General features: G+C 53.8%; 1 protein-coding gene across 11 annotated transcripts in view, besides 1 other annotated feature; it reads right to left on the bottom strand.

Annotated features, from left to right (window-relative positions):
• Positions 1-9,320, bottom strand: part of PLEKHA4 (pleckstrin homology domain containing A4) — a 31,521-nt gene extending 22,201 nt beyond the window's left edge. For 6 of the 11 annotated variants that reach the window (NM_001161354.2, NM_001438307.1, NM_020904.3 and 3 more), the window contains exons 1-7: positions 8,786-9,320; positions 8,240-8,329; positions 6,206-6,313; positions 2,323-2,395; positions 2,104-2,204; positions 1,053-1,162; positions 172-387 (exon numbers count right to left, since the gene is read on the bottom strand). In NM_001161354.2, coding sequence (NP_001154826.1) covers positions 172-387; positions 1,053-1,162; positions 2,104-2,204; positions 2,323-2,395; positions 6,206-6,313; positions 8,240-8,323 — 692 coding nt within the window. In that variant the 5' untranslated portion in view covers positions 8,324-8,329; positions 8,786-9,320. Of the gene's footprint in view, positions 1-171; positions 388-1,052; positions 1,163-2,103; positions 2,218-2,322; positions 2,396-6,205; positions 6,314-8,239; positions 8,330-8,785 lie in introns of those variants that run through there. The other 5 variants (XM_047439136.1, NM_001438308.1, XM_011527158.4 and 2 more) reach the window with 3 other exon arrangements.
• Positions 233-312: a silencer, noted in NCBI's record as "silent region_10905". NCBI's record gives its function as "represses an Ori minimal core promoter by ATAC-STARR-seq in GM12878 lymphoblastoid cells {active_cell/tissue: GM12878}" and the evidence as "EXISTENCE:reporter gene assay evidence [ECO:0000049][PMID:35858748]".

The raw sequence follows: 10,413 nt of genomic DNA on the forward strand, positions 1-10,413 counted from the left end.
CCGCTTTGTGGCATCTTCCCCTCCAGTCTTCTCCCCGACAGGCTGTGACCCCCACGGGAGCCCCAGCAAGTCACACACACTCAAGCAGAAAGCGCTAAGGCCCGCCCCCAACCAGTTTCCGGCCCTGCCCTTCTCTTAGGCCACGCCCACAACCATGTCCTCCCTACTCACTCGGGGCTCCTCGCCCTCCGCATCTGGAGTCCAGAGTGGAGGTCGGTTGTGGGGCTGGGAGTGAGCAGCCTGGGTCTACCACGACCTCTGGAGAGTCGAGTCACTTCCGGTGATTCTGAGATGCGCCCCTCTTCCCCTCTGCTCACCTCCGGGGGACCACCGGGGCCGCCGGGGCCCTCCCCGGGCTGGGGTCGTGCAGGTGACCTGGGTTGCCCACTAGCGAGTGGACATAGACAAGATATCACTCCTTCGAACTTCATAACAGCCCTATTCTCTTGTCACAGGTGAGAACACAAGGATGCACCCAAAAAAGGAAAGTTGTGCACTATAAATCATCGTCCCCCTTCTTCAGAAGGGGAAACTGAGGCCTCCAATGTGAAACTGACCTGTGCGCCAGGCCACAACGTCTATCCAGGTTGCTGGACCCAATGCCCCGGAATATGGGATAGACTCAGCCAGGTAGTCCAGTTTCCAGCCTGATAATTGGCGCAGGCCATGTCAGAGCCTAAGAGATAGTCTGACATTTTTTTAAAATCTGATACTATCTTTTACCTGGCATTGTTTAGGTGGCAGCTCAGGGGACTTCAGAAGGAGCCAATCAGAGAGTGTGCAATATTGATCATTCCTGGAGCAGAGCTGAGTGCGTGACTGAAGGGTCAGCTTGGGGGCGGGGACGGACAAGGTGGTGGGCGGAACTTAAGGGAGAAAGACTTTTGCTGATTGGAAAAGTTCCCTGGAGGTGGGGCCTAGAAGACGAGGCGCCTTAGCTAGAAGACTGGTGATTGGACACTCAAGGGGGCAGGGCCCCAAAGGGGAGGAGTTGGGATGACGAGACTGACTCAGGGTGGAGGGTCAGGAGCATGGCTTGGACCTCTACTCACTAGTCGTCCCCCTCCGCACGGGAGGCCCGGCCCAGCGCCCGTAGCCAGCCCCGCAGGTCTTCTAAGGTGTCAGCGGCCAAAACGTAGGTCCTCATGCCCGGGTGCTCTGCCTGCGGGAAGAGAAGGCTTGGAATCCGGACTCCCGGGCCTTGTAAAAAGGAGGACAGGCCGGACCGGTGACTCATTCCAGTAAACCCAGTGCTTTGGGAGGCCGATGCGGGAGGATGGCTTGAGACCAGCCTAGGCAACATAATGAGACACCCCCCTCCACCTCCTTCCGCCCCCGTCTCTACAAAAAAATCAAAAAATTAGCCGGACGTGGTGGAGCGCACCTGTAGTCCCAGCTACCGGGGAGACTGAGGCAGGAAGACTGCACTTTGCGTCGCTGCACGCCAGCCTGGGTGACAGAGCAAGACCGTCAAGAAAGAAAGGAAAGAGGGAAAGAGGGAAGGGAAGGGAGAGAAAGAAAGAGAGAAAGAGAAAGAAAGAAAGAGAGAGAGAGAAAAAAAAAGGAAAGGAAAGGAAAAAGGAAAGGAAAGGAAAGGAAAATGGAAAGGAAAGGAAAGGAAAGGACTGGACAGACGCGGTGGCTCATGCCTGTAATCCCAGCACTTTGGGAGGCTGAGGTAGGCGGATCACCTGAGGCCAGGAGTTTGAGACCAGCCTGGCCAACATGGCGAAACCCCATCTCTACTAAAAATACAAAAAATTAGCCAGGCGTGGTGGCGTGCGCCTGTAATCCCAGCTACTCCAGAGGCTGAGGCAGGAGAATCCGTTGAACCCAGGAGGCGGAGGTTGCAGTGAGCCGAGATCGCACCACTGCACTCCAGCCTGGGTGACAGAGAGAGACTCTGTCTCAAAAAACAACAAAACAAAAAAACAAACCAAAACAAAACAAAACGAGGATGCAATTGACGCTTGTCAAGACCTTTTATCTCCAGTAATGGATATTCCAGTGCTTGTTAGGACTTGGAGTTTCCTCGACAGATATCTACCCGCCCTCATCTCCAGTTCCCATCGCCTGGTGCACAACATGGATGGATGGACTCACGGTGAAGGTGAAGCGCCGCCCTCGGGGGGCTCCCGGCCCATCTGGTCTAATATTGTAGCTGGGGAGCAGGACGCTGCCTAGGACACTCTCCTCGCGGCTGTCTGCAAAGAGGGGCTGGGGTCAAGGATCACACAGGGATCAGAAGGCCAAGATGCTAGAGAGAAGGGCAGACTGGGCGGGGGGGCCCTCCCACCCCAAGCCAGCCAGCCAGCCACTGACCCTTGTAATAAAAGAGGCAATGGCCGGAGAGGACGAACCAGCGGCGTTTCCAGAGACGGAGCCCCGAGCTGTCCTGGGGAGAGAGATGGGAGGAGGGGCCTGAGTAAAGGGAAACAGAAAAAGGGGATGAAGGCAGTGACGATGGGGACAGAGAGCCAGAGAGAGAAAGAAACTTGGAGAGAGGAGAACAGAGACATAAAGTAGGGATCAAGAGAGTGGGGTGAGGCCGAGCACAATGGCTCACGCCTGTAATCCCAGCACTTAGAGAGGCCAAGGCAGGTGGATCACTCAATTCCAGGAGTTTGAGACCAGCTTGGGTAACATGGCGAAACCCCATCTCTACTACTAAAAAAAAAAATTAGCCAGGTGTGGTGGCGCGTGCCTGTAGCCCCAGCTACTCCGGAGGCTGAGGAGGGAGGATCACTTGAGCCTGGGAGTGGGGTGGAGGCACAGGAGAAAGACCCAGAGAGACAGAAGAGACAGAGACACATGTTTGGGGCAATGGAGTGGATAAGAAGGAGAGCTGGAAGCCCTCTGAACATGATAGAATAGAATAGTAGCCCTACTTCTTTTCTTTTCTCTCTCTTTTTTTTTTTTTTTTGACAGAGTCTTGCTCTGTAGCTTAAGCTGGAGAGCAGTGGCATGATCTCGGCTCACGGCAACCTCTGCCTCCCAGGTTCAAATGATTCTCCTGCCTCAGCCTCCCGAGTAACTGGGATTACAGGCACGCACCACCACACCCAGCTAATTTTTGTATTTTTAGTAGAGACAGGGTTTCACTATGTTGGCCAGGCTGGTCTTGAACTCCTGACCTCAAATGATCTACCCACCTCGGCCTCCCAAAGTGCTGGGGTTACAGGCGTGAGCCACTGCGTCTGGCCTCCCCCACTTTCTTTTTTTGTTTTTTGAGATGGACTCTCGCTCTGTTGCCCAGGCTGGAGTGCAGTGGCACGATCTCAGCTCACTGCAAGCTCCGCCTCCCGGGTTCACGCCATTCTCCTGCCCCAGCCTCCCGAGTAGCTGGGACTACAGGCCCCCCGCCACCACACCCGGCTAATTTTGTTTTTGTATTTTTAGTAGAGACGGGGTTTCACCGTGTTAGCCAGGATGGTCTCGATCTCCTGACCTTGTGATCTGCCTGCCTCGGCCTCCCAAAGTGCTGGGATTACAGGCGTGAGCCACCGCACCCAGCCCCCACTTTCAAACTATGCTCTGGAACAAGTCATTTCCGCCTAGAATCCACCTTCATGTTTTCTCGTCTATCCGCTGGAGATTGAGAAGTTTTAGGGAGGTTTGGATGAGACATGGACCACATATGGGCAGACTTTAGCTGCAGAGACTTAGTCCAATTATTCTGGAGCCTGAGACACAGAGAGGCCAGGAAGGTGGCAATGAGCCATGACCCAAATGCAGCGTCTCCACCTGCCTGAACTACTCATCGCCTCTGCCTGAACTACTCCACTAACTATCTCCAACCTCGTGTGCCTCTTCTCCTCAACCCATTCCCATAGAAGCCCACATGATCTTTTAAAATTATAAGTTAGATCACGTGAGTCCCCTTTTCAAAACAGAGAATTAAGAACACTTGAAATTCAGTCTCAAATTCCTTACCATCACTTACTGTTTTTTGTTTGTTTGTTTTGTTTTGTTTTGAGATGGAGTCTCGCTCTGTCACCCAGGCTGGAGTGCAGTGGCACAATCTCGGCTGACTGCAATCTCTGCCTCCCGGGTTCAAGCGATTCTCCTGGCTCAGCCTCCTGAGTAGCTGGGACTACAGGTGCCTGCCACCATGCAGGCTAATTTAGGTTTTTTGTTTTTTTTTTTTTTTGAGACGGAGTCTTCGCTCTGTCACCCAGGCTGGAGTGCAGTGGCATGATCTTGGCTCGCTGCAAGCTCCACCTCCTGGGTTCACGCCATTCTCCTACCTCAGCCTCCCAAGTAGCTGGGACTGCAGGCGACCACCACCACGCCCGGCTAATTTTTTTTTTTTTGTATTTTTTAGTAGAGATGGGGGTTCACCGTGTTAGCCAGGATGGTCTCGATCTCCTGACCTCATGATCCGCCCACCTTGGCCTCCCAAAGTGCTGAGATTACAGGAGTGAGCCACCACGCCCAGCCTAATTTTTGTATTTTTAGTAGAGATGGGGTTTCACCATATTGGCCAGGCTTGTCTCGAACTCTTGACCTTGTGATCCACCTGCCTCGACCTCCCGAAGTGCTGGGATTACAGGCGTCAGCCATCGTGCCCAGCCCATGTACTGCTTTGCAGAGAGTTTTGAGTTTGAAGGTGCATAAGAATCACCAGGAAGGTGTGTTAAAACACAGATTCTGGGGCCCCATCCCCAGAGTTCCTGATTTGGCAAATCTATGATGGTACCTCATCATTTGCCTTTCTAGCAAGTCCCCAGATGACGCTGATGCTGCTGGTCTGGGACCACACTTTGAGAACCACTGCTCTGCTGCTCCTCCTGGCTTCTTCCCCTGGCCTCACTTGACACCAAGGTTTTGCCTGCTGCAGACCTTTTCCTTTTGGATGCGATCTGCCTCCAGGTCTTTTTTTTTTTTTTGACATGGAGTCTCACTCCATCATCCAGGCTGGAGTGCAATGGCGCAACCTCGGCTCACTGCAACCTCCACCTCCCAGATTCAAATTTTCCTTGTCTCAGCCTCCCAAGTAGTTGGGATTACAGGCACCCCCAAGCTGGCCCGGCTAATTTTTGTATTTTTTAGTAGAGCCAGGGTTTCGCCATGTTGACCAGGCTGGTCTTGAACTCCTGACCTCAGGTGATCCGCCCGCCTCAGCCTCCCAAAGCGTTTGAATTACCGGCATGACCCACTATGCTCAGCCAGCTCAAATGTCACCTCAGAGATAATTTTCCCTGACCAAATGTCAAATTGAAGTTCTCCTCTCTCAGCCACGTTCAAGCACATCATATTCCGTTTTTTTGTTTTTGTTTTTGAGACAGGGTCTCACTCTGTCACCCAGGCTGGTGTGCAGTGACATGAACACAGTTCACTGCAGCCTCAGCCTCCTGGGCTTCAGCAATCCTCCTGCCTTAGCCTCCCGAGTAGCTGGGACTATAGGCGCACACCACCACGCTCAGCTAGGTTTTGTGTGTGTGTGTATTTGTTGTTGAGATGAGGTTTCTTCATGTTGCCCAGGCTGGTCTAGAATTCCTAAGCTCAAGCGATCTTCCCGTCTTGGCCTCCCAAAATGCTGGGGTTACACCACTGAACCTGGACCCTATGTTACTTCTTCATAGCCCATCCTGCGATCTGAAATGACCAAGTCCATTTATTTATTTACTAATTTATTATCCACCCATGCTCCACCCAATCTGGAATGTAATATAAATACTTTTGTGTTATTTGCATGGTGTGTGCCCTGGGATTGGGAACACTGTAAGTGTTCAAGAAGTAGTCAAGAAAGAATGAATGAATGGGCCAGGCACGGTGGCTCACGCCTGTAATCCCAGCATTTTAGGGAGCCGAGGCGGGTGGATCACTTGAGGTCGGGAGTTTCAGACCGCCCTGGCCAACATGATAAAACCCCATCTCTACTAAAAATACAAATATTAGCTAGGCATGATGGTGCATGCCTGTAAGCCCAGCTACTCGGGAGGCTGAGGCACGAGAATTGCTTGAACTGGAGGCCAGAGGTTGCATTGAGCCGAGATCATACCACTGCCCTCCAGCCTGGGCGACAGAAAGAGACTCTGTCTTAAAAATAAATAAATAAACAAACAAACAAACAATGACGGACTAAGGGGAGGGGCAGTGATAGCAAGAAAAAGAAAGCCTATTTGGGGACTTGCAAGGAGAGAGACAGAGGACAGCCGGGGCACAGACTTCAGTGTCCTTTTCCTTCTCCTACTGACCCCACCTGCTTATGAAGCCAGCCTCGGATGTGCACGGGAAGGTTGGGATCCCTCCTGAGCGCATTGCCTCTCTTCCCAAAGGCGTGGATCTTGTTTACTGCCCGGGTGGGCTTCTGAGGAGAGAAGGGGACAGAAGTGAACAGGGAGAGCCTAGGATGGTCCTGGGAGGGGGTGAGGGTGGACACAGGCAACCGTAGGCTCTCGCTTGGCTGCCCTGAGAAATGGGTCAAGGACCAGCCGGGCGCAGTGGCTCACACCTGTAATCCCAGCACTTTCGGAGGCTGAGACGGGTGGATCACGAGGTCAGGAGATCGAGACCATCCTGGCTAACACGGTGAAACCCCGTCTCTACTAAAAATACAAAAAATTAGCCGGGCGTGGTGGCGGGCGCCTGTAGTCCCAGCTACTCGGGAGGCTGAGGCAGGAGAATGGCGAGAACCCGGGAGGAGGAGCTTGCAGTGAGCCGAGATCGCACCACTGCACTCCAGCCCGGGAGACAGAGTGAGACTCCGTCTCAAAGAAAAAAAAAAAAAGAAAGAAAGAAAAGGGTCAAGGTGGGGGCTGAAGTTGGAGATCAGAATTGGGAGGTGTTCTTATTGCAGAGTTAAGAGACTCTTTTTTTTTTGACAGGCTCTTTGGAGTGCAGTAGCCTAAACACTGCAGCCTTTACCTCCTGGACTCAGGTGATCCTCCAGCCTCAGCCTCCCATGTAGCTGGGACCACAGGCATGTCCCACCATGCCCAGCTAATTTTTTTACTTTTTGTAGGGGACGGGGGTCTCACTTTGTTGCCCAGGCTGGGAGAGACTCTTTTTTTCTTTTTCTTTTGAGACAGAGTCTCGCTCTGTCCCCCAGGCTGGAGCACACTGGCACCATCTTGGCTCACTGCAACCCCTGCCTCTCGGGTTCAAGTGATTCTCCTGCCTCAGCCTCCTGAGTAGCTGAGATTGCAGGCACGTGCCACCACGCCTGGCTAATTTTTGTATTTTTAGCAGAGACGCGGTTTCGCCATGTCAGTCAGGCTGCTCTTGAACTCCTGACCTCAGGTGATCCACCCGCCTCAGCCTCTTAAAGTGCTGGGATTATAGGCGTGAGCCACTGCGCCGGGCCGAGACTCTTTTTTTGATGGGCAGAGGGAGGTGTTCAGAGGCAAGGAAGAGGCTGTAGGGAAGCAATTTGGGGATCAAGCATCCACTGCCAAGAAGCAGATGCCCTTGGCCACCAGAGCCAGAGCTGTAGTAGGTCCTTTGGGATCTGAACTGGGACTATGGGCTGGGAGGGCCCCATAATCAGGGGGAACTCTCACGCTGAGTCTCCAGTGAATCAAAGGATGCCCTGGTGCCCTGCGGTCACACCCCTTAGCAACCAAGTACAAGGAGAGGAAGCCTCAAATCCCTCCATCCTGCCCGGATGGAGCCTCATCTCCTGATGCCCACAGATATCTCAGGCATCCTTAGCCAGGTCCCGACAATATGCCCTTCCTTGGAAGCGGTGGTACTGACCAAGGCTGAGATCAGATCTCTGGGCTCTGAACTTGAGAAACAATATGTGTGGAACGGCAGGAGGAAAAAGAAATGAGTGTCTCCCTAAGCTTTTGGCTGGGATGCCGATTTGGGATGCAAGTATCTGGAGGCCCCTTGGGTCTTATTGTCAGAGAAGGGTCTCTCCTTATAGGATTTCATTAGTGGGTAGATTGGATGGCGAGAGATAGGACAGCAAGTTCTGGCACTAATCAAGAGCAGCCACTACTTCTCAGAACTCGAGGGGCCTCATGGCTGGGGAGCGGCTTTATCTTAGCAACCAGGGTCAAGGGAGGTTGTTACTCTGGTTTAGAATTAGGAAAATACAAAGGGTGGGGACAGAGCTGGGAGTGCCTCTGAATTCCTAGCTGCGGTGTGTAGGCAATTTGGGACCTTACTATGTCTGGCAGACCCCGTTGCTAAGGATCTTTGTCCTTAACAACCAGAGTCCTTGGGGAAACAGAAGGATGGGCGGCCCAGAGCCCCACCTTCCTCCCCATCCCCGCCAGGAAGCTCAAACCTTGGGGCTCAGGCTGCTGAGCGAGGAGATGGTGGAGGCGCTGCTGGCCAGGCTCAGGCTGCTGCGAGGTCGGCTCCCCTCCATCAAGGGCTGGGGGAGAGAAAGAAAGGGGCTGTGTCTCTGCAGTGACGGGTGTGAGACAGAGATGGGGTCAGGGGCTTGGAGGTCGGAGGAGGCTGCAGAGAAAGAGCCTGTTGTTTCGGGACTTGGGGGGCTGGGGGAGGCCATGGCCCGTGACCACATACCAAGAGTGGTGCCAAGAGAGGTAGGCGGCCCTGGCAGCTGCGGGAGGGGGCAGCTGTCTGCAGCCCAGGCCAGAGAATAGGGGCTTCTTTATTCCTGCCCACTGCACTCAGGCCAGGAATTTGACCCTCTCTGTGCTTAGGGACTCCCCATTCCCTGCCTCCTTCCGGCTGCCCCAGGCTACCTGTCTCCCGCCCTCCCACATGCACCCCCAAACCACCCCTGCCAACTCCCCAAGCCAAGCCCTGCGGCACCAGGAATGTGAACCCAGAGAGCCCCTCCCAGCCCAGCCAGGGAACTTACCCAGCTCTGGGGTCCCAGTGACGGGGGGGCAAGAGGACGGTGTGGGTGCTGCGGCACCTAGGCAGTCTCCCGCCTCCTTTGTCTCTTAGCTGCTGTCTCTCATAGTTCTCAATCTCTCTCCTCACCTGCTCACTCACACTTTTTGTCTCTTTGTCTCCTGTCTCTTACGGTCTCTCTCTCTCTCTCTTCCTTTTACACTACCTCTCTCCCCACTCTCACTTTCTGTGTCTCCCTCTGATCTCTGTCTCTTCCAGTCTCTCTCTCACTCATTCTCTCCCTCTCTCTCTCTCTCCAATCTTTCTGTTTCTGTCCAAATCTTTTATTGTCAGACTCACAGGGTCTCTTCCTTAAGTCTCTGTCTCATTCTCTCTCTCTCTCTCTCTCTGTCTCTCAGTCATCCCCTGTGTCCTCTCTCCTTCACACTCAGTCTCTTCCTCTTTCTCTCTGGCTCTGCCGTTTCCTCCCTTTTCTCTTTCCGATTTCCCTTCTCACTTTCTCCCTTCCTCCCTCTCCCAGTTTCTCTTTCCTCTCTGCTGGTCTTTCCCTGCCTCTGCCAGCCGCCCACGCTGCTGTTCTCCCCTCCCAATCCCGGCTGTCCCCGCCCCTTCTGGCCTCCCCACTACAGCCTGACCTCTGGCTCAGCTGCCCCCATAGCTGAAGGGAGGGGCTTGGGCCCCCCAATTCCCAGGTCCCCTAAGGACCAAGGTTGGGACTTCTCAGTGTTTGGAGAGTTGGACTTGAGGCCTGCACTCCAGGGCCCCCGTGGGTTTGCTGCTGTGGTTGGGGGCCTGAGCCACTGGTGTCCTAAACGGAGGAGGCTTGTGTCCTGCAAGGGGTGGGGACTCAAATTTCCAAAGCCCTGGAGGGAATGGGTTAGGGATCCAGACTCCTGGGTGCCCGAGAAGGTCTGAGCTAGGATCAGGACTCCTGAGTCGTGAAAGAGCTGGGGGTCTGGAAACATGGCTGTGCTTGGAAGGGGCCAGGGACGGTTTGTCCAGGTCCCCTAGGGAGAAAAGGGGATGGTCCCAGTAGGGCAGGGTGAAATGGAGAGTTCCAAACCTCCACCTCAGATCCAGGTGAGAATTCTCTTCTAGACTGAGGACAACTCCCTCAGGAGAGAGACATGATTCCTTGGTATATTTTGAGGAACAAGATTATGCATCCGTAGGCAGGGGAGGAGAGCGGGGGGCTGGAACTGTCACCCAGGGCCTGGAACTTGTAGCAGAAGCGCCCCCACCCGCACAAAGAGTGCCACCCAGGCAGAATCGCGGCTTGTGGGGGCAGAGCTACTGCCTAAGTCTGAAGCAGATGACACCCAGGAGTGGAGCCTTGTGCCTGTGACCGGGAAGGAATCTGAGCTTTCGGTTTAACTGCCATTCACCATGCACCTGTTGAGCACCTACTGTGTGCAGGCACTGTCTGTTGCAGCCACTGAGAAGAAAGCAGTGAGCCCTGGCTGGGTGCAATGGCTCACGCCTGTAATCCCAGCACTTTGGGAGGCCAAGGCAGGAGGATCGCTTGAGACCAGGAGTTCAACACCAGCCTGGGCATCATAGCGAGACCTTGTCTCTATTTAGAAAATGAATTTCTTTTTTTTTTTTTTTTGAGGCGGTGTTTTGCTCTGTCGC

This window comes from Homo sapiens, chromosome 19, assembly GCF_000001405.40.
Source record: "Homo sapiens chromosome 19, GRCh38.p14 Primary Assembly".
NCBI lineage: Eukaryota > Metazoa > Chordata > Mammalia > Primates > Hominidae > Homo > Homo sapiens.